Source organism: Homo sapiens, unplaced genomic scaffold, assembly GCF_000001405.40.
Source record: "Homo sapiens unplaced genomic scaffold, GRCh38.p14 Primary Assembly HSCHRUN_RANDOM_CTG21".
NCBI classification, from domain to species: Eukaryota; Metazoa; Chordata; class Mammalia; order Primates; family Hominidae; genus Homo; species Homo sapiens.
The window spans coordinates 21,159-45,652 of NT_187499.1; the positions used below are offsets into that span (position 1 = coordinate 21,159).

At 36.1% G+C, this 24,494-nt stretch overlaps 1 protein-coding gene across 3 annotated transcripts; it reads right to left on the reverse strand.

Moving 5' to 3' along the window:
* Positions 1–730: 730 nt before the first annotated feature.
* Positions 731–23,049, reverse strand: LOC102723382 (ankyrin repeat domain-containing protein 20B-like). Of its 3 annotated transcripts, XM_011546266.3 has the most exons (6): positions 22,149–23,049; positions 19,395–19,464; positions 15,350–15,434; positions 6,353–6,423; positions 2,152–2,315; positions 731–769 (listed from the first exon to the last, which is right to left on the reverse strand). In XM_011546266.3, the coding sequence occupies exons 1-6, from the start codon at positions 22,241–22,243 to the stop codon at positions 754–756; spliced, it is 501 nt and encodes a 166-aa protein (XP_011544568.1). In that variant the 5' UTR covers positions 22,244–23,049; the 3' UTR covers positions 731–753. The 3 variants fall into 3 exon arrangements, 1 of the variants encoding a protein (XP_011544568.1); XR_002958861.2 differs by lacking the exons at positions 731–769; positions 2,152–2,315; positions 6,353–6,423 and adding exons at positions 18,506–18,537; positions 20,168–20,239 and having other exon boundaries at positions 15,424–15,434; XR_002958860.2 differs by lacking the exons at positions 731–769; positions 2,152–2,315; positions 6,353–6,423; positions 15,350–15,434 and adding exons at positions 18,402–18,537; positions 20,168–20,239.
* Between the last annotated feature and the right edge of the window lie 1,445 nt (positions 23,050–24,494).

A 24,494-nucleotide genomic window follows, 5' to 3' on the forward strand; every position in this document is an offset into this window, starting at 1 on the left:
AACTCATCTAGTTATCACAATTTTGAAAAAGAAATGTTAAAAATATAAGCAAGCTACAGGATTTTCCCCAGGACTTCTGACTCTACTTCTAGTTCTCTGACATATCACAGTTACTTCTGTGGTGTAAATATATCCATATGGAAGAAAACTTTTATTTCAAAACACCAATGGTAAATAAGATAAAATTTATAGAGCTCTTCTTAGAATATCATGAGATTATTTGTGATTGCAATAATTTGTTTCCTCTTTATAATATTAGGTACAGTAATCAATATGAAATAGGGGAAAGTACAAGGAACAATTTTACTGGGAACAGAATCTTTATCAATAGGTTATCACTAAGTATATACTATGGCATATTATTGTTTTCAAAAGCTCTTTGTTATAAAATAATATCTTATGTGGATGCCAAGATTTATAATAAATATTAATAATTGTACCTGTAAGTGGCATCATTCATTTTTTAAAAATGAGATAACATTTCTGGTTTGTTTTAGACCTAAATATTATATATTAAATCAAGAGAATATTAGAAGAAACTTTCATACAATAGTTTAAAATATAGAATTTTTACCAAAGATTGATTTATCTGATTTGGAGTATTTCTTGCAGTCTTTGTTTTCATCTCTAGTGATTGAACAGTTGGTTCAAGTTGCTTTGCTTCAACTTCTTTCTTATGTTGTTTCTCTTTCCTTTCTAATTCTTCTCTATTTTTTTGTACAGCATATTAACATTTGTTTTTTCTTTATTTTCTTATCTTAAGATGCATCTGCAGATAAAGACATTTATCTTAAAACTCATTTTGTTAAAAAATAAAGAGTTCATCCTGTGATCTACCTCTGCAGATGCTCTTTATCATCCTAATAAAATTTCTGTGTTCTGAATTATTTTTCCTTTTTAGTTCTCAGATATTTAATCTCTCACTTCAACATCTTCAAAAGAATGCATATACTTGAAAAGTAGTAAGGAAAGAATATTCTGCTGAAGTTTTTGTTACTAGTCACTCTAGCATATATTATAAAAAAGGATACTGGAGATAATTCAGTATAGTTAGAATTTCAAAATTACCTTTTCAAATCACACAGTCATAATTACTCCCCGATTAGAAAAGGTCATTTACAATCAACTAAATTTTTAAAGTTACTATTTATTGACAAGCGTATAAGTTCACTAGAAATAAATTTTCATCTTTATGAAATATTGCAGGTGTCTCTCCAAATGATTTACAGAGTAAGATGTCTCTCACACAAACTATATCTGCAGATGATTGTCAACTAAAACTAGGCTAAAGGGTCTAACATCTGTTACCCCACACTTTTTATAATTCTTTCTTAATACTTCCAATTCACCTTCTTATTACATATATTTTATGTATTTATTAAGCTATTGTTCATTATGTGTAATATATAATTAATGCCCTTAATAAGTGTATGTTTACACAAGTTATGTTTTCCTGTGAAATCTAGTCCCAGAAGTGGAGTTGTTGAGTTAAAGGGATGTCAGGTTATTTGAAATTTTGATACACAGCACTAAGTTACCCTTCAGAAATAATTTACCAATTTCATATACCAACAGTGTATGAGAATGCCTTTTTCCTCACATTTGCCAATGGTAGTAATTACTTTTTCAATACCAGCATGACTTTACAAAATATATCTTATTTTATGTTAATTTGCACTTTTCTGATTACCAGGCAGGGCTAAATATCTCTGGTGAAAATATAAAACTTGTTAATCATAAGGAATATTAGTCCAATTTTGAATTAGTTTATAGCACAATGACAATTGTCTGCTGCGAAATACTGCTATAGGTGGCCAGGCACGGTGGCTCACTCCTGTAAACCCAGCACTTTGGGAGGCCGAGATGGGCAGAACGCCTGAGGTCAGGAGTTCGAGACCAGCCTGGATAACATGGTGAAACCTCATTTCTACTAAAAATACAAAAAGTTAGCTGGGCATGGTGGTACACGCCTGTAATCTCAGCTGCTAGGGAGGCTGAGTCAGGAGAATCACTTGAATGCAGTAGGCATAGGTTGCAGTGAGGTGAGAACACACCATTGCACTCCAGCTTGGGCAAGAAGAGAGAAACTCCACCTCAAAAAATAAATAAATAAATAAATAAATAAATAAACACTGCTATAGGCTTACTTACCTATGATGCTCTTCCTTCAGCTTCTTGGTAAAAGGCTGAGGATAGGTTTTCCCAATATTTCTTTGTTGGGTTAATCTGTCAGCAGCAGCAGCAGATGTACTATGACATACATTTTCTGATAGTTGTATTTTTTCACTTTTGTTTGTATTATTTCCTTCTTTGACCTTTAACAAAAGTAATATGAATAATAATTATTATTTTATTCAATAAAAAGAAGTTTTTCCCTGATTTTTTCACTTGATTCAGGTTAACTATCACCGTTTTAATGATAAAAATATTTTGTGCTTACTTTAATTTTATCATTATACATAATTATTATAATTATAAGATACTCATCATTTTATCATTGAAATTTTTGTCAAGTCTGCTCATTTCTGTTTGAGTGAATAGAAGAATTTTCCAAAATTTCAAAAAGGACTCTTCTCCATTTTGTGCTTTTATTCCCATCCACTCTTTGCTATCTGATATAAATATTTATGTTATCTGACTGGCAGAAACAGAGAAATAAAAAGACACAGGCATAACATATATCTTCTGTCATTGCCACCTGGATTTTACATGAAATAGCCAGATTAAGAGGATGTGACCTTGTAGGGCTTCAGGAACAGTAAAGAAGTTTTCCCTTTTCTACACTGAGCTATTCTTTTCCCCACTGCCTTTTATCTCTTTTTTTTTTAATTCTGGGATATCAAAAAAGTGAAAGTTCTCCCTGAACTATGGGAACCAAAGTTTGCCACAACACAAGAAGCAGAGTGAAACTGCTGTGTTTCCAGTGCAGAATTCTGGAAAACGACATGCTTCCCAGATTTCACATTCAATTATCAGAAAAGTTTATAGGTGGAAAACATACGGTACAGTTATCTACTTTAGCCCCATTATCTACTGAAAATGGGAGTCAAACTAACAAAGACATATGAAATGTTTCATCGAGAGCTCTTGAGGTGGCATTCTCTAGCATTTCATGGCACCAAATAACATGATACAATTCCATATTGCTGAATTACATAAATTACCAAATAAATTTATCAAATTAGTCAGATATATTAAAAGTCTAAGTTGAGCAAAGCAATTTAACGCCTCAGAGGGTGGAAAAAGGCCTCATCTGCTTTTACTTTGAAGAAGAAAATCTCTAGATTTTGTCTATCTTTAGGACACAATGTACAGAACTCAACTTTCTACTAAAGAATCAAAGGATAAATTTTTATCTAAGAAATTATGCTTCTTACATGATAAAAATCACACATGCCAAAACTTATGATACTTTATTAAACAACATAATGTAAGGACTGATTCAACAGAAATATTGGAGTGGTGATTTTTTAAAATATGTGGAAGTATATATTTGTTTTCAAAATATTGGAAATAACCATGATGGAACTATAAGTTCAAACAGTTTGAGCTAAGCAGATGAACTTGCATGCATGAAAATACATTAAACAGACTCATTTGGCTGGGAATATTCATAGCAACTCTCAAGGCTAGACGTGTTTTTGTGGCTCGTCTCAGTCATTGCTTTCCTCCCATTGTATTCCCATTCTATCATTAAATAAATGTAATTCATCTCTAAATGAATACAGAAAAAAGAATCTAGAATCTAAAGCTTATTTCTTTAGCAATTTCTTTATGTTGATCTCATTCAGAAGGTCACGTGGTATATGGCTGAATTAGTTTCCCAGCTCATATGCCACTTGGAAGACTGAGAGTGAGACTTAGGTTGATTAATGAAGAAACATTATGAGAACATTCTCCAGAACCATTGTTTAGATAGCAGGACTAATCTACTTTGACACATAATTACACATTTAGAAAACCCCGCTGTAACTGTACACATGAGATTTTCTTGAATAGAAAATTTGACTAAATCATATAATTGATAAAGAGAAAAAAGAAGCAGCAAGTGAACCTCTGTCTTTTTGAAGTTGGACTTTCTGTTTCTCCAAAGCCAGGAGCTCTACTTGTAACATGCCTACCTCATTCTTTTTACTATTATTATACTTTAAGTTCTGGTACATGTGCACAATGTGCAGGTTTGTTACATATGTATATATGTGATATCTTGGTGACCTTGAAATATCTTGCTGTAAGTCTTCTAGCTATATTTTTGATGTTCTCTCACTATGTGGCAAAGAATAACCCGCATTTTATAGTTCAAGATTCATGGTTTTGTAGTTATTAACACTGGGATTGTCATACAGCGGCTTCTGGAATAAGCACTGTGTTGGTTTTCTGTTTTTATAAGTATCTGTAGCAGCAGAAATACTGTGACTTTCTATCTGAATCATATGCTTCATTTCTTTGGGGTGGGTAAACCACAAATCAAAAAGGCTTTCTGGATCTCTAGACTGAGACCAATGCCTAATTTCCAATTAGTGGTATTTGGGTTTATATATTTTTCCATTTGCATGTCAAACTCTTAATCATCTTTCATTTCAATCATAATTACTGGGTTCCTTACTTTTTCAGTTTCTATATCATAACAAAAATTTCCATCATCTGTGTTAGAAACAAGCTGTGTGTCTGGTTTGTTATCATTTTTATAGTCTGATTTATTTTAAATTAAATGAAGCTTAGAAGATGACTGGTAAGTGTATTTCAGGGACCTGGAGTGTGAATGGAATAAAAAGACATTTGACATGGGCTTCCTCTGTTCAGGCGCTGCCTGGACTGCCACAGAGCTAGACCCTCCAGATACATTTTTCTCCTCACAATCAGGGACATGATTCATCAGACTAGAGGGCACTCCTTTTTTGTTCATCCCTCTTTAGAGTTACCATGTAGGAGCTCTTCCTCAGGGCAAGTAGTAATTTTGGAGTTTTCAGAACTTTTACCAATATTCAGCTTGAACTTGTTTGTAATGAATTTTAAAGAAAGTCATGAATATATAGATTGATTCCCTTTATCACTGTTCTTACCCAGTTCTGGTTCTTGAGACTTTTTTTGGTGGGGGGCAGGTGCAAAATGGAAAACAAATTTGCTTGTTTTGTTTCTCAGATGTCTTTTCTGTCAGAGTGCATGTTTTAAAATTAGCTTTAATCAAGTATAAACAAAGAAATATTAGAAAATAATTAAAATTTAACTGTGAAACTTAATCTATGTGTTGCTACTCTTAAATTATGGGATTGTAACTAAAAAGTGAAAAATAATTTGCTTTGGCTTAACATAGGACAGAAACATGAACCAGCAAGCTGAACTCTCACTGTCTGTTTGGACTAAACTTAATGCATTTGTGTAAAATCTACCAGAAATGAATTCAAAGATGATAGGTAGTATTATAAAAGCTTCCTCTCTTACAAAGACTTTACCTCAGCATACCAGAAAGAGTGAGCCCCTACAGTGCATGTTTATTTCTGAAGATTAACTAGAGCACTAGGCAAACACTAAATTATTAAGAGCTAAACTGAACACCAATAAGAAAGAGAAGTAAAATTTTAAATTCTAATTCAAATGATATACTATGATAGTGTTATGTATCTAGATAGAATTTCTGCTTATATCCACTTCTAATATATTTTAAGTTCCAGTAGTGATAGGGTTTGGATTTTTAAAATTTCAGTAATGTTTACTATGTATTTATGTTGAAATAAAGTTATTGTTCACACCCTGACACCAAAGGTCCCATTCTGCAAGGTAGGATTCTCTTAATAGGCAACTGCATTGACTTTTATGACCCCATTCACTCCCTGAACACAGACACAGAAGTCAACTGGTGACCACAAAACAGAATAAATCTTTAACCTCGGCACTGGTGACCAGCAATATAAAACTGCAACATTTGAAGCACTGGCAATGATGACTCCTTTAACACTAGTTTAACTCAGTGGCCATTGTTGTTAAACTGTTCATAATTTATATTCCTCAGTAATATGACCCAATACTTCATGTTACCTTGTGTATTATGAGTAAGGTTATATAAATAAAACAGCAAGATAATTCTGAAAATTTCTTGCCTCAATTCTAAGGGTAAATACAGCTATGAATTACTAGAGATACTAAGAATTACTAGAATAACTAATAGTTACTAGAGATAGTAAGAATATCTTAAGTTTCATAACTGGTTAAGATGTTTTAAAAATTAAATATAAAATTATGATCTATTGGATTCTAAAGGTATAGTCTGAAAGGTCATGTCATTTGGACTATGCTTTGTTAGTAAAGCAAAAAAAACCCCTAATATTAAACAAGAACTTAAATTTTCATATACCTGTGATTGCTTCTTTTCACTTCTTTCACACCTTTCTTGCTCTTCCTCTAAAGCCACTGGTAAGGTTTGTTCTGTTGACAAAGTCATTGATTTAGTTCAAATGAACTAAGAAGAGTTAGATAAGGACTATAATCTTTATAAAAATAAATAGAGAATAACATTTCTTTGTATTTTATATTTTGAGAGTTTGAATGAAACAATGTTTACTGAAATATTTACTTCTGTAAGAAATACTTCTAATTATCCAAAACTTCAACAAACCACTTGGGGAGACACCAGATATCACCAGATTCAAGCCATGTAAAATCTCAGGGTCACTCACAAATTGTTCCACCCAACATAAGTCAACAAAACTGTTGGAAACAAAACAGAAATTTGAAATACAGTCAAAATATACAACGTAATGCTTTATTATACTTCATAACAGTATCTTTTTAACAAGACACTAATTGAGTTGGCAGTTACTAATAATTTGCAAAATTATTGTTGTTTATACCTCAATTAGTGTGCACCCCATTTTTTACATCACAAATGTTTTCCCCTGCTATTCTGAAAAATTTATTTTCATCTTTTAAGACTCAGAAAGTAGGCTGGGCATAATAGCTCACATCTGTAATCCCAGCACTTTGGAAGGCCAAAATGGGAGAATCGCTCAAGGCCAAGGGTTTAAGACCAGCCTGGGAACCATAGGTAACCTTGACTCTACAAAAAATTAGACAGGTATGGTGATATGTTCCTGTTGTCCCCGCTACTCAAGAAGCTTAGATGAGAAGATCCCTCGAGCCCAGGAGTCTGAGGTTTCAGTGAGTCTCAATCATGCCATTGCACTCCAATCCTGGGTGATAGAGTAAGAACTTGTCTCCAAAAAGAGGAAAAAAAAAAGGCTCAGAATGCTATGTGAAATCTTCCTTGATTCTAGGTATCTTTCTCCACACACACAGGTGTCTGCTTCGTTGGGGTCCCTTAGTACCTTGTCAATTTTTCTAGTGTCACTTTACCACCTGACCTGCACATCATGTCTTTACATGTTGACCCCTTTGCTGCTAGACTGTAGAGGATAATCTTTTGAATCATCTTTGTATAAGCAGTCTTAATTTTGCTAAATAATTACTTATTGAGTTCCTGCTAAGTGTTAGGCACTGGGGAATAAGGAAGGAAAATAGAAGCTGTCAGGGATGGCTTTCCTAAAGATCATCCATGAGCTGAGACTTAGAGAGTGAGGTTAGCCAGATTAAGCGAGGCAGAGGGCAGGAAAGGGTGAGCACATGCCAGGCAGCAACAAGAGAGGAAGAGAAGCCTCCAAGAGCGTATGTATTTCTCTGCAGAAGAGGAATGGTGAGGGGGCCATTACCAGCAGCTCAGTAATTCCAGAGAAAAAGGCAGATGGGGAAAGGGATACAGATGGAGATTTGGGCAGAAATCAGTTTCCTTTTCTTTTCTTTTTTGGGACAAGGTTATACTCTGTCTCCCAGACTGGAGGGCAGTGGCATGATCTCAGCTCACTGCAACCCGGCCTCCCAGGTTCAAGTAATTCTCCTACCTCAGCCTCCTGAGTAGCTGAGATTACAGGCGCGTGCCACTACCACCTGCTAATTTTTGTATTTTATTAGAGATGGGGTTTCACCTTGTTGGCCAGGCTGGTCTTGAACTCCTGATCTCAAATGATCCACTTGCCTCAGCCTCCCAAAGTGCTGGGATCACAGACATGAGCCACCGTGCCCAACCCAGAAGTCAGTTTCTGAAATCCTTATATAAACCTTTAAGATGCTTAGACATTAGGTATTCAGGAGTGATTCACGGATCTATTTGCATTAGGGATAATTCACTCTAAATACTGTGAGGAGCATAAAATTCTGAGGCATATAAATCAATGAACAAAGATAAAATATAAGGCAATGTTGCAAAGATGATGCAGGCCTGAGGAGATGTTTTCAGAAATATTTAGGATATAGGTATCAGTGGCCATTATAAGAATGAATTTCTATTGAATAAATAAATGTATATATCTCGGTCCCTGGAGAAATACACTCTGCTCATTACTTTACAAATTTTATCAATCAAATGAGAAGTAAAGTAATATACATAAACTCTTTCAGTTACTTGTATTTACTTTACCCTTTTTCTGTTTCAGTTTTACTGTGCCAAGGAAATGCATTTGGGTTTTGTGGTGGTTGTTGTGGTTGTGGTTGTGGTTGTGGTTGTTTTTGTTTTTTGAGATGGAATTTCACTCTTCCTGCCCAGTCTGAAGTGCAGTGGTGTGACCTCAGCTCATGGCAACCTCTGCCTCCTGGGTTCAAGCGATTCTCCTGCCTCAGCCTCCCAAGTAGCTGGAATTACAGGCATGTGCCACCATGAACAGCTAATTTTGTGTTTTTAGTAGAGATGGGTTTCTCCATGTTGGTCAGGCTGGTCTCAAACTCCCAACCTCAAGTTATCTGTCCGCCTCAGCCTCCCAAAGTGCTGGGATTACAGGCACTAGCCACCGCACCCAGCAACATATGGGGATTTTGTTTTAAAAGTTCTGTTCCCTGGATCTACCAAGCTCATGAGAAAATAGAGCAAACAAGTCATTTGCATAGGTAAGAAACTTTGGATTTATAGCTTGTCCTCACTACTCTAGAAGATTATCATCATGTTTTGCAAAGCAAAATGTTAAACACAGACATAAGGGGAAAAAGAAATTAAAACTATAGGGGTGGGTGAAAAAATATTGCATAATTTATTACTGTTGACCTCATCATATGACTGATTAAGGGCACTGAATTTAACTTGGATGTGAAGTAGACCTCATATTAGCTGCAGTTAATCAGTAGACCAGGCGTCCTAGCAGAATTAAATTTGATGCTCCTGTGTTATCTTTAAATGACACAGCTTTTCTGAAAACCCTTACTCATAGTGCGTGATTATCCATTAAGAAAAGGTGATGGAATATGTGAATACAGCTGAGGAGACACCACAAGGCAAATGCTCAGTGGTTCCCATTAATATTGGGAAAATCAACACTATAAAACAGAAAGCCATAGACATTATTTAATATTTGGTTTTGGGAGGTATTTTTAGTGACACTGCATACAGTTGTACCTAATAATTGCTAAATTAGAGACGTAAAAGTAAAACAAAGGCACATTGTGTTTGAGTAGGAAATCTATAGACATCTAGCTGGTTTTCCCATCCAGCCACAAAATTCTAAATATAATCATGGTACCTGTACTCAAATTTATGTTAAATACCAACCTCAATGAAATCACTCTTTCTTCTCATTCCCTTTCTTATTTATATGTTGCTTTCCTTAAGGGAAGAATACAAATGCCTTGCTAAGAACCATTCTGTTTGGTTGTAGGCTGCATAAGGGGAGTGAACACAAAGTATATTTGACCACAAAATGACTCTTTAAAAGTCAGAACTATGGTAGCATGAAGCCAAACGAGGTAATCTAGAATAAAATTTTCTATGCTTCTTTCCCTTCTTTGCTCTCTTTCTACTCTAATAACTGCGATTCACACAGGTAATGAAGAGTGTAATTCCTTGATAGAAACACAGCTCCAAGATTAATCCTTTCTTTAACTATGAAGTTCGCATGTCCAAAATCTATGGTAGTTGCTGTCTGATTTTTGATCACTGATGGTGATACAGATATTTATCATCAACTCACAACTTCCCAAATCTTTGAAAAGTCTTACTATTGATGGTTCAACTAGTAGAAACATGATGTAAAATATCTGAAAATAAAGTTTTTATTTATTAGAATGTAAATAATAATACAAATTGTAATAAGGTGTAAAAGTTCTTTCTTCACTGAAGCAGTACCATGTTGTCCTCTACCCCACAAATGCACTACTCCCCCGTGGTCCAATGTATTTTAAAAGTCTTGTAATTGCTATTAACTCAGACAAGTTTACTTAACTTGTTCTAAGCTTCTGGTATTTACTACAGTTTACTTTCAATCACTCAACCATCTCTGTTATATATGTTGTTTTCCATGAGAAATTTGTTTATTAGTAATTAAGATTCTTCAGGGATAGGAAAATATTTGAATAACTAAGTTTGTGCATAAACACATTAAGGTCAAATACCCATGATACTATTGTGTGTTTCTGTGTACTAGAGAAAAAAACTTCAAAAAAAATTTAATGAATATACTTTAAATTAAAAACTGCTTTCATTAAACTGAGATAATCTTCCCTCAATGCATGAATACCTTCAGAATTCACATAGACCAAAGAATTGTATAAAATATAACAGCCTTAAAAATCTTATTTGTAGCTGGCACAGTGGCTCCCACCTGTAATCCCAGCACATTGGCAAGCCGAGGTGGGCAGATCACCTGAGGTCAGGAGTTCAAGAGCAGCCTGGCCAACCTGGTGAAACCCCATCTCTACTAGAAATAGAAAAATTAGCAGGGTATGGTAGCACGTGCATGTAGTATCAGCTACTCGAGGGGCTGAGGCAGGAGAATTGCTTGAACCTGAGAGGCAGAGGTGGTAATGAGCCAAGACTGAGCCACTGCACTCCAGCCTTGGTGACAGAGCAAGACTCTGTCTCAAAAACAAAAACAAACAAACAAAAAACCTAATTGTTCCCATATAAGTCTATGTTCATACAAGATCTGAAGAGTACACAACACCGTGAGACAGGACAGACATATATTTTAAAAGTTATATTCCTGATTTCTGTAAAAATAAAATAGTTGAATTTAAGCTTTCAAGACAAGTCAACGAAACGAGCAAAAAATGCAAAAGTGAAACTCGAAAGGTCATTTCCCCATCAAGGGCTCATGATCACTGGACATTCACAAACTATACTGTTCAAAACATTAGATCTGAATTTTGATCCGAGTATCCCTTTAGTAGCAGTTTCATTCAAGGATGTCCAAGAGGTAAAATAAGACAATATCATTTGCTATTTTCAGTTTTCTTTTCTGAGAACAGCCCAGCATTCTTCTTCAGAGAAATGAATTGTCCTAACTTCATAGGCTAAAGGCTCATGAGTCATAGTTCTAAGGGCATTAATAAAATATGGTGGTGCATGCTTGTATTCTGAACTTTTCAGGTTTAAACTCTCATATAGTAAATGCTAATAGATACAAACTGATTAAAGAAAAGCCCTCTTAAACTGACATTATTTTTCTTTTTATTTCTTCATTTATCAGCAACAGGAGAGTCTAACTAAATGTGGTAAAGTGGTATGAGGGAATACAATGAACAGTGTAAAATGAATTAAACCAGAGATAATCACACCAATGTGGGTACAAGTGGAAAATATAATACAAAACACACCAAAGAAAGTGGCAGAAAGGTATATAAAGTATATAACCACTCACATACTATTTTAGGACACAAAAAATTCTGCATATTATTTCTGGGCATCACAATGTAGTTAAAGATTTCAAAAGGGCATTGAAATGAAAAACAACCAACTTATGATGTTGGTAGCCTCTATGCAATCATGTTTTAAAAACTTTAACACTAAAAAGGCTCAAAATCACCATTTTAAAAGACTGTGTCTACCAGTCATAAATGAATCATTACTTTCGTCATTTGTAATAGTGAAAGATGCCACAAGCACACGCATACACACATCTATATATACACCTACACACACAGTCTTGCTCATTAGAACATCTGATAAGCTTCAGATCATCAGTGTAATAACACTAGCAGCAAGCCTCTGAAGTTAAAACAGAAACTGACACTTTAATAGGTAAAGCTTTCCTCTAGGTAAAGATCAGAACTCCAACTAGCACTTAACTCACTGGAAATATCTTAAGAGTCTCAAAATTCACTGCTTTGAATCCCTGACAAGTATAAAAATTTTATACTGAAAACTTCATGCTATTCAAAACATTAAAACAGAAACATCTGACTTAAAGCTTACATTTTTAAAATCTTTTTTATGCTTCTAAATTTGTTTTTATTCAAATATGGATACCAACAATAACATTTATGTCAATGCCTTCTGTTCAATATTGAACAAATAGAATTAGGAATAAGAATAATATGAGTACATCCAATCATTGACTGTACTTTATTTCCAGTATTCCATCAAATGTACCTGCTCTCAATGTCTGTACTTTCTTTCTTTGTACTGCTCCTTTCACAGCAGGATCTTCCACTTCAGTGCTAGGCTGAATGGGTTTTAAAAGAAAACGATTCATAAATCATATATATTTTATACAACATGGAGTTAGTGATTCAAAAATATACATAATTAATTATCTTCAAGGAAGGATGTTTTGCAGAAGGCCCTACAAAGCAAAGGGGATATGTCATCAATTATATGTAAGTATGACAGGACCAACCAAACATTCATGCAGTGTTACTGTCGAGCTGAATTCTCAGGCCTGGCTATAAAAATATTTACTTAAGGTTTTGAGGGTTCTTCTTGGCTTCGTCTTTTTATTGCCTAGGACAGCAACATGACAGAAACACAATGAGGAAAATAGGAATATAGGATTCCCAAAATGCACAGTTTACATTTCAGTAGTGAGATTATGTTTCAAATGCCTATACTTAAAATAGAAAAGCATTGATATAACCGTGAACACGTGGACTAATGAGGAGAAAAGGGACCATTAAACAGAGGGGCAAATCAAACCTGAGAGAATCAATGTCAAAGCTGATGGTGAATGTACAGAGTATTTTAACTCCACACACCAGAGGCATTGCTGCCAGCACAGCACAAATAAATTCCCCTTGTCTTGTCACTGAGGAAATACTCAGTTGGGATGACAGTTCAGGTGAATGTGGGATTCACCTCTCATCAAAGAAAGGGTTCTACATTGATCAGCTAGGATACACACTTATGAAATAACAGCTAATCAAAGTACTCATTTTTCCCATGATCACATGGGCTACTGCAGCACCTACATTTCTCCTATCCCCTCATTTGGCCTTGAATTAGAGCTCCTTGATCCACTCATGCAAGGTGGTCCATAAAACACATCAAATAAACCATGTCGAATAAGCTTCTGATATCAAATTATTTATCAAAAAAGAAAACATTGAATGACCACAGACTTGCTGGATATTAATACATATTTATATTTCAAAATCAGTGCAGTATTTATTGAAAATGATAATTTTGGTTTTCATGGAATGAATTTTATGATTACTTCTAAAATTAACTAAGTTTGGTATATTATCTTACACTGTAAAGGACTTTTATAAAACAGCTATCATATCAAAGAACTGGCTGTCTCAAAAAAATTTCGCCAAAGCATCTATATGCAACTTAATCATATCTTATTCACTCATGTCAGTGAAACTTCTCTCCCTGAGGCCTGACAGTTATCAAGTGAAATGAGCTGCTGTGGTTTACCCCAACTCTAGCACTCCCTCCTGTCTCCAGTACTCTCCACAGCAATAACCTCTTTTGTGAGACTGGGCATATGCTGAAGCAACTGGAAGTGAGTTGTCTCAAGTTTACTTGGCTTTAACTCCCAAGACCCCAGCAAATGTCTTTCTTTCCTCCTTTTGTGTCCATTCACCATCCCTCTTCCTTTGAAAAAATGATTATCAGAACTGTCATCCTGATGCTTCCCTTCCTAACTGCTTTTTATGGATGATTGTGACCACTTTTTTCATCTGTATTCAGCAGTAGTATACACCTGTAATCTCTCTTTTTTCATCTCATTTTCCTTCCCTTGTGGCTAGAATCATGCTCAGAAATAAAAGGAAATTAAAGCTTTCCCTGGATTCTGTTATTTTTTAAATTGCTCTCCAGTGGTTCTTTTTCCAGATTTCTCTAAAGGAAGGCTATTCCCTTGCTATTCAGAGCTGTGTCCAAGGACCAGCACAAACATCACCTGAGTGCTCATGAGAAATGCAGACTCCAATACCTGCTAAGTCAGAATGTGCACTTTCCAGAAGCTCCTCAACGAATTCATGACAATTTGAATGCCCTGTTCTACACTGGTGTGCTTCCATATTGGTTTACCCTAATTGGCCTTTTTGGCCTAGCCTCAACTTCTTTCCTATTATGTCCCTGAATTTAATACTACGTTATAAGCCATAATGTTTCTAATGAACTTTTAATCAGGCAAAGCTTCTCTAATTAATTTCTTCCCAATAAATCACCCAACACTATTCTTTTCATTTTCTATAAAAACAAATTATAGCCATACATGGCTGACCATTTACGGTGATGTTCATCTATGGTAGATAAAACACAGGTCTGCATGGTAAAGTACCTCAATCCTTAATGCCTCCCCAGTAGCAAGAATGACAGCAAGAGAAGGAAAATGTTACTGTAATTATATGACACATTTTGGTACTGGAAGCTCACTTTATCTTCCTTCCTATTTCTAACACCCTGTTCTTCCTTCTTCTACAGATCAATTTGACTTTACTACCCTCCATTACATACATCCACTTTTTTTTATTTATTCCATGTACACTCTGCCCTCCTCATTCTTTCTTTCTCTTTTATTCATTTCTTCTTCCCTCTCTCCTGACTTGCCTCAGGTCTTAGAGTATGTTAAAATGGAACTCATAACTCAGCTCCTTTAGTGGTACTTCCAATAGAATCAACTGCTGACCCTTGGTTAGAGACACCACTTATCACCATTTCATTTCTCTTTTACTTATGATACAGTTAATAGGACATTTTCTTTAGCTATTAAACTCTATTAGTGCTCATATTTTAAAAGAAACATTCCATCAATGACTTTTTTTTTTTTTGAGATGGAGTCTCACTCTGTCACCCAGGCTGGAGTGCAGTGGCACGATCTCCGCTCACTGCAAGCTCCACCTCCCAGGTTCACACCATCCTCCTGCCTCAGCCTCCCGAGTTGCTGGGACTACAGGCACCCGCCACCATGCCCGGCTATTTTTTTGTGTTTTTAGTAGAGATGGGGTTTCACTATGTTAGCCAGGATGGTCTTGATCTCCTGACCTCATTACCCGCCGACCTCCGGCTCCCAAAGTGCTGGAATTACAGGCGTGAGCCACCGCGTCTGGTCTCCATCAAATGACTTTTTAAATAAAATACGGTTCTCACCTTCTCCTTTTCCATTGACTATTCTGTTTCCGTTTTCATGAGAAGGTCCACGTAAAGGCTCTGACACTTTCTGGGGGACACACTGCTAAGGTAATATCAAGAATTAGTTTCCATTTAAAATTATAATGAGTTGCATCAAGAGTTTCTTATCAATCTCTTTTTATGAAACTGGGTCTCACTCTGTCAACCCAGGGCTAGAATGCAGGGGCCTGATTATGGCTCACTGTGGTCTCAAACTCCTGACCTCAAGCAATCTTCCCACCTCAACTTCCTGAATAGCTGGAACTACAGGTGCATACCATCATGTCATGCTAATGTTTTTATTGTTATCTTTGTAGAGACAAGGCCTCATTATACCTCCCAGGCTGGTCTCAAGCTCCTGGGCTCAAGCAAATCTTCCACTTCTGCCTCCCAAAATGTTGAGATAAGCATTGTGCACCACCACACCCAGCCCTAATCAATTTCTTTAAATCAATCTCAATGTTGCCCAGGCACGGTGGCTCACACCTGTAATCTCAGCCCTTTGCAAGGCCAAGGTGGGTGGATTGCTTGAGTTCAGGAGTTGGAGACCAGCCTGGGCAACATAATGAGGACACATCTCTACACAAAAAATACCAAAAGGAGTCAGGCATGATGGTGTGTGCCTGTAGTCCCAGCTGCTTGGGAAGCTGATGTGGGAGGATCACTTGAGCCTGAGAGGTGGATACAGCAGTGAGCCAAGATCATGCCACTACACTGCAGCATGGACAACAGAGCTAGACCCTGCCTCCCCAAAAATTTCAATTTAAAATGTGAGAACAAAGAGAGATACAAACAAAAAACAAGCCTAATTAGTCAATGAAATATGAGCTTAAGCCAAGAAAGAAAACGAAAAACATGAAGTACAATAAAGTACATGGGGAAATAGATCTATAACAGAGCCTTCGGTCTTTCATAACTCTGATAATACTAATTAATATTTATGCTGCAATTAGTTTTTTGTAAGTACTTCTGTGATAGTGTTTCTTACTATAAGACATTCAATTAGCTAAATATGGTCATCTACCATTACCTGAAAGAACATTATTATAACAGAGAGAGAAAACTGGAACTTTCCATCAACTTTCCACCCAGAAAAAGAATTGGTCACCAGAATTCTAAAGAGTAATGTATGGCAGACACATGAAAAAATGCTCATCATCACTGGCCATCAGAGAAATGCAAATTGAAACCACTATGAGATATCATTTCACACCAGTTAGAATGGCAATCATTAAAAAGTCAGGAAACAACAGGTGCTGGAGAGGATGTGGAGAAATAGGAACACTTTTACACTGTTGGTGGGACTGTAAACTAGTTCAACCATTGTGGAAGACAGTGTGGAGATTCCTCAAGGATCAAGAATTAGAAATACCATTTGATCCAGCCATCCCATTACTGGATATATATGCAAAGGATTATAAATCATGCTGCTATAAAGACACATGCACATGTATGTTTATTGTGGCACTATTCACAATAGCAAAGACTTGGAACCAACCCATATGCCCATCAATGATAGACTGGATTAAGAAAATGTGGCACTTACACACCATGGAATACTATGCAGCATAAAAAATGATGAGTTCATGTCCTTTGTAGGGACATGGATGAAGCTGGAAACCATCATTCTGAGCAAACTGTTGCAAGGACAGAAAACCAAACACCACATGTTCTCACTCATAGGTGGGAACTGAACAATGAGAACACTTGGACACAGGATGGGGAACATCACACACCAGGGTCTGTCATGGGGTGGGGGGAGAGGGGAGGAATAGCATTAGGAGATATACCTAATATAAATGACGAGTTAATGGGTGCAGCACACCAACATGGCACATGTATACATATTTAACAAACCTGCACGTTGTGCACATGTACCCTAGAACTTAAAGTATAATAATAATAATAAAGAGTAATGTATGGCTTGAAATGGTATATTTAATGGAACATGAGTTGGGTCTAATAAAAAGCTTAAGAAATGTTAATCTAAAATCTCAATGTTAAGATTCCAGTTGAATGATACTAGAAAATATTTTGTAACCCTCTTTGCTACCGATGACCTATTTCTCTTTTATTTCCTTTTTAATTATGGCATAATTTCTCAACATAACATGTCAAAACTTATACACCCTTAAATATTAAAAAATAATACAATGTAAGCAATATTTTAAATACAATATTTAATGATTAGATACATTAGGTTTATTATATTACTTATAACATTCCATTATATAAAAATTCATTTGTTTATTTATTCAGATTAAACAACTATTAAGGCTGAATGTCTCATGTCTGTAACCCCAGCACTTTGAGAGGCTGAGGCGAGCAGAACACTTGAGCCCAACAGTTAAAGAAGAGCCTGGGCAACAAGGCAAAACCCTATCTCTACAAAACTCAGCCCAGCATGGTGACACAGGTCTATGGTGACATAGCTCTATTGTTTCAACTACTTGGATGGCTGAGGTGTGAGGATCACCTGAGCCTAGGAAATGGAGATCGGAGTGAGCCAAGATCTCACCAGTGCCCTCCAGCCTGGGTGACAGAGTGAAACCCCATCTCAAAAAACAACAAGTAAAATGCTTCTTACATGGAAGACTGTATTCTAGGTACTCCAGGATACACACAAATATGTTTACTGACCTCCAGTAGCTTATGGTATGCAGGAGCTTCCAATGAATGATCATTTAAAAAACTAAATAGAAAACCTTCTGACATTCAAACTTTCAGAATATGATATAAGTCCTTTGACTGGTTATTTTATTTTATTTTATTTTATTTTTTAAGATGTAGTCTTGCTCTGTCACCCAGCCTACAGTGCAATGGTGCGATCTTGGCTCACTGCAATCTTTGCCTCCTGGGTTCAAGCGATTCTCCTGCCTTGGCCTCCTGAGCAACTGGGATTACAGGCATGCACTATCATGCCTGGATAATTTTTGTGCTTTTTTTTTTTTTTTTTTTTTTTTTAGAGACAGGGTCTCACCATGTTGGCCAGGCTGATCTTGAACTCCTGACCTCAGGTGATCTACCCACCTCGGCCTCCAAAAGTGCTGGGATTACAGGTGTGAGCCACCACGCCTGGCCAAGTAAATATTTTAAATAAACTACAATGACAAAATTATGATGATAAAGACTTACCATATTGGTATTAAGAGTCTCTGCTTCTAGAACTGGTTATTTGCAGGAAAATACATGTTATTCAATTAGATGAAGTGTTTTATATAAACTCTTCATGGACAACTCATAAATCACATAAAAATACCTTTGCAATACAAATCTTGAGAACATAAATTTAAATTTCTACATTTCCACAATTTATATTTTTAAATTAGATACAATGTTGCCCAGGCTGTTCTCAAACTCCTGTGTTCAAGCAATCTTACTGTCTCAAACTACCAAGTAGCAGGGACTACAGGTGTACACCACCAAACTCAGCTATTTTTCTACAATTTTTAATACTTTTTTAGTCTCACTACAGAACCAATAATATAAGTAGAGAAACAATCTCTCCTAAAAACTATATGACACCAAAATGATAAATTTCCAAGAACAAAAGCTATATGCTATGTGCTGAACATTTCTGCCACTAAAAATTACCAGGAGGATTCCATGATTACTGCAAACAATTTGATCCACTGAAGATTTATACAGGAATAAATATTAAGAAAGTCACACACGTATGATTTAAAAGTAAAAGTAGTAGTATTTATCCAAATAAACTTTAACCAAATTTCGTATTTCCTCTATTGGAGAAGGCATTTCCTAACGTGATTTTCCTGTGACTACTTGTTTTCCACTTCATTTATTTTTCAGCTCCCACCCTGTCACAGTACTTACCAATCTTTATTAGTTACCAAAGTTAAACACATTTTTTTAATCAACTAGCCATGTGTATGTTTTTCTCTGACCAGCTTTCCATTACCACCATAAAACAATGACAGGTAAACCACTGCTAAATTTGAAAAGTAAATACTATGCAAAACTACACTCAGAGTGAGAAGATTAATTTTACAAGAGACCACTTTACCTTAGTAGCAACACTCAAGTCTTCATCATCCAATGTAGGCAATGAATCCACACACAGTTCATGCAAAATGCTTGAGAGCAAAAATACACAATGAAAATGAGCAAGTTGATTTCTTTACAATTTTTTTAACTGCCAGTTTATATCCAGCTTCCCCCTCAAAAAAAGGAAAACATAATCTGGGGAAAGGTCAGTGATCTATATATTAAATTATGATTCTTGATATAATTAAAATATGTCCTCTGTTCTAAAAATAGATTTTAGTTACCTATTTCTGCCTCCACCTGTCTAAATCTATAAAATATTCAATGAAAACTAACCTTGAGGTTTATAACAAATAGTGACAGTCAATATATTGGCAGAGCCTGACAATAATGTGCCCTCACAAATTATCTGTCCTGAAGCTGAACTTAAAATTCAATTAATGGATGACATAAATTTTGTTCCCTAAACTGGAATAAAACTGATGACCTAAAACAAGGTAGAAAGATCCACTGTCTCTTTTCCGTGATTTGTCTCTGGATAAAAGACTAATCTACATCACTTCAAAATGGTAGTCTTGATTCCTCAGCATGGATCCAACTTAGGAAGGTCCTATTGCTTTCCTTTACCCTAAATTGGTACAGGAAAGCCCCCACAATATTTGAAATGTATGAAAGCTAAATGTACAGAAGTCAAATAGCAAAGGTGTATGTTCTTATTGAGAATACTTTTCCCAGAAAGATTAAAATATTAACAATTATAAAATCCCATTATTTTCACTCTATAGGTCCTACCTTATTCAGGTCCACATAAACTAGCAAGCCCTTAAAAATTTTCATAGGCACTCAGACACCCAAGGAGAGAGACTGCGAGAAAAGAAACAGAGTCATGATAGTTGTACCTCTATTTCCCTAAGTACTATCTAAGTATCTTTCTTCCTATGGACACCCACTTCCAGATTCTACTTCTGCAGGGTTCCACAGAAGTCTCCAATCTTCAAATCTTCAGTGTATGAAAGCACAGATTCCTGAAAGAATGGCCTCAAATGACCAAGAGTAGGAGCTCTCTATATCCCTGCTCCTGAAAAACAAGCTAACTGGAGTCTCCATCACCTGCCACCAGCTATACACACTACCAACTACCCAACTGAACTCCATGACTGATTTGCCAGCTAATCATGCCCCTGACCCAGCCCACATGGACATGGGAAGGACATCAGTGAACTGTGAAAAGAGGCAGAGGTGAGGAGACACCTGCCCTGTGCCACACATCTATGTAGTTCAGCAATTTCCAGCCCCTTAGTACTCCAGGGGCTCTAAGCCACCCCTTTGTAAGTCAGGATGGAAGTAGATGACACCACATTTCTATCTGCTGTAGACATTCTTCCCAGTGTCTCAAAATGTTTTGGCATCTTTCAGTAAAAATCTTCAAGTTTGTCAGTCCTTGATTTAAAAAAAAAAAAAAGCAGCAAAATTTTTAGAGCTCCCTTGAACCTTCTATTTTAATGTGCCTTTGTAGATAATTCCCAACATCTTGTGTCCTTCATTTTTATAATTTATCTTTATCAAACTTGTCATAAACCCCAATACTTTGATCTCTTGTAGAAGAGTCCGTACTCCTATCCAATCCAGTGTTGTTTATCTTCAAACTTGGACTTCCCCTGCTCATTCCATTCTTATCTACTTCTATTGGGTTCACCAGCTAATTCCATTCTCATTCTATCCACAGGCTCACTCCCGTTTGTATTATTAAAACACACGCCAATAGGACATAAAAAGAAGCAAGAGTACTGGGCTTTACCATGAGTTCAAATCTCATTTCTGCCAATTCCTATGTCTAAAAAAAAAAGCTTCCTAATCTCTTTGAGCCTCACATTCTCTATCTAGAGAATCACTTGACCAGAATGTTCAACGCAGATAAAAATACTAGAAGGTATTTTAATTCATTCTAAGATTCCTTAAAATTCTGTAATTCTATGTCCTCTTGATTCTGTCTATAGAAAAACTTGGAATACATAGGCAGCAGAGTTTGAAAAAAATAATAGAACAAAAGAAACACCAAGAAAAACAGAGAAGAAAGTTTTAAAAAATGAAGACAAGGTTATATAAAAGTCATGGAAAAAGCAACAAGAGTAAAAAATGTATTATGGAAGTAAGCAGAAATACTTGCCTAAATGGAAAACCAAACTGGGAAGTCAAATAATTTGTCTCTAAGACTTGCCTAAACTTGCTTTGGTAAAACTTACAGTCCTATGGCCAAAGCTAAGTCAGATCTGCCCTAGAGCCTTTGAAGGTAAAAATAAGATACTGGTTACCACTGAAATCGTCAAATTTATTAGGACTAACCACATTCTAACAATAAACTTAAATGAGAGTTCAAGGTATTTAAACTCTCATTAATTTAGAAGTTAATCAAATTAATGAATCCGATTGATCTGATTCAGACCTATACTTTGATCCAAGGGCTGCACAGATATCTATCAATCTATGCTGAGGAGCAAGAGAAAGGATTTGGAAGGCAGGTAGGCTGATGGTCAAACTGCAGGCCAGCTACTTTGTTAACTATGGGATCATGAGGCAATTAATCAGCTCTAATCCATAGTTGTTTATTTAACAGTAGGTTATAGGAACACAGATGTTATGATGGCTTTATGAGATGATAAATGCATAGAACATATTAGGATGTCTAGCCCAGAATACAACACTCAACAGATATTAGTTTCTTCCATCTATATTTTCTTAGTTAACATAATTTTTTAAATCTATGAAATCTTACCTGACTGCAGATTCATCAGGAATTCCAACATCTATTAAAGAAAAAGGTAAAATGCATTTTAAATCAATAATAAATGTACAGAATATTAAAATCATAAGAATGCACAGTGATGCATGCCTCTAATCCAAACTACTTGGGAGGATGAGGCAGGAGGATCACTTGAGGAGCCCAGAAGTTTGAGACCAGCTTGGGAAACATAGTAAGACTCTACCTTCATAAAAAAATTGTGCACACTTGTGTGTATGCTTTAGATCCTGTTTTTGTTGTTGTTGTTGTTGTTGTTTTGGTTTGGTTTGGTTTTTTAAAGCATAAGACTGACGCTTTGTTACAAAGCATTCCTTTGGGAGCATGCCTGCGACCTTATTAGAATTAACATTCATTATACGTATTGGTAGGTAATTAATGCAGTAAGAACTCTTCCCTCTGTATTTATTAGATGCAAAGAAGAATAAATTTATTAAAATTTGGTATCTACAAGTGAACTGCAGTATACAAGTCATCCTAGCCAAAGCCTATGAGATTGAGTAAAAATGGTATTGTTAGCAGAACAGGTGTGATGAGTCAACAGTGTCAAAGAGCATGATTTCTGGACCAAAATATGAGGGGCCATTACAACAGAGTATACACTAGTACCCCTTATCCACTATATGCGCAGAAAGACATACTTGACACGTTTTTCTCTGCTGTCACACCACAGCAACAATCATCAACAAAGAAGGCTTCTGTGACCAAATGTGTGGAGAGTTTTTCCCCACCAACAAACAAGCAATCATTCCTGCTGATGACACAATTCAATTCTCACACCCTATCTACAGATAACATCAGATTTAATTTAATTTATAAATTAAACTTTCTCATAGATATGTATGTATAGGGAAAAACAGCTTGTGATTCAGTACTATTCATGGTTTCATGCATCCACTGGGGGTCTTGGAATGTATCTCCCACAGTTAAGGGGGAGCTACTGCACTTATTTTGTTATAACACAATACAGCCTCTCTAGTTCTTCAGTTCAAACTGTTTAGTTTAGAATAAAACACCATATCACCAGAAACCAACAAAACATAGGACTCAGACCAGAAACAGGAATCCTTGCAAAGACTTTCCAGCCACCAGCGGAGAAGATCTCAAGAGAGATCAGTGTGTTGTTACTCTGGCTAATACTCTTCTGGGGAAGGTGCTGGGTGGTTTCCTTGGTTGTAGCTATTTGCTCTGGCCTACATATAACAAGGCCAAATTCACCTGCCATTTTACCTCCCACAGAAAGATCCACTGGAAAGATCACTCCTTTAAGAGCTTATCCACATTCAGAGAGAAGCTGAAGAAACGCTGGGGAGGTATGGCAGGCTGCGGGCAGTATTATCTGATGTGAAAAAATATATAGAAATAAAACTATCAATGCCTTTTTACTACCAGAATGTTCTAATGCTTGCCCTTCTCCCTGGTAGGAGAAAAAATTTTTTTCACCTCGCATAAAGAAAAACTCCCTTGTCATCCCCCATGACAGAATCTAGCTGTAGGTGAGTCATGTCATCATAATACAGGCTGTTGTCAACCTCATCCCTCAAAGGAAGAGGATCAGTGAGGAACTTATGTATTTACCTAATAGGATTCACTGCCTGGTCTTATTTCCAACTGAAGGTAAGTATGAAAGATTTTGTGATTCCAGTTTTATAAAATACAACCCTTTGCACTTGTCCGCTTCCATTGCTAGAGAGTCTATCTGGACCCACCTCACAGAGCAAGATGCTCCAGTTTGTGCTGTGTGGTACGGCATGGTGTCCTTTTCCTCAACCCTTTCTATTATGTGCCACATATCTATACAAATCATGTTTTCTAAGTATGTAAATCAAATCTCATCAGAATACATCATTCTTTACAATGATAAAGAAGCAAAAGAAAAACAAAAGGACAAAGAACATCTTAAATGACTACAATCAACTGCCATGGAGCTTTAATTTTTTAACTATTCAAAAAGATATCCACTCTTCTTATTCCAACTATATGACTCTTCTGAAAAAAGTAAAACTATGAAGACAGAGTAAACATCAATGGTTGCCACGAGTTCCTAGGGAGAAAGGGAGAGATGAACAGGCATAGTATACTTCTTAGGGCAGTGAAACTGTTCTGTCGATAATATTACAGTAATAGATACATGTCATGTCATTATACATTTGTCCAAATTCACAGAATGTACAGCATCAAGAGTGAGGCCTGATGTAAACTATGAACTTTGAGTGACTATAACGTGTCAATGTAAGTTCATCAGTTGTAACAAATGAACCACTCTCTGGTGGAAAATACTAATAATGGGGGAGGCTATGCGTGTGTGGGAGGCGTGGGGTA

Excerpts from the sequence above, each read along its gene's own strand:
- LOC102723382 (XM_011546266.3), bottom strand. The coding sequence starts at position 22,243 with ATGATTTTAATATTCTGTACATTTATTATTGATTTAAAATGCATTTTA. Across the intron at positions 15,435-19,394 it reads ACTTGAGTGTTGCTACTAAG|CAGTGTGTCCCCCAGAAAGT; the intron begins GTAAAGTGGTCT and ends ATATTACCTTAG. Across the intron at positions 6,424-15,349 it reads AGTCAATGGAAAAGGAGAAG|AACAAACCTTACCAGTGGCT; the intron begins GTGAGAACCGTA and ends CTTTGTCAACAG.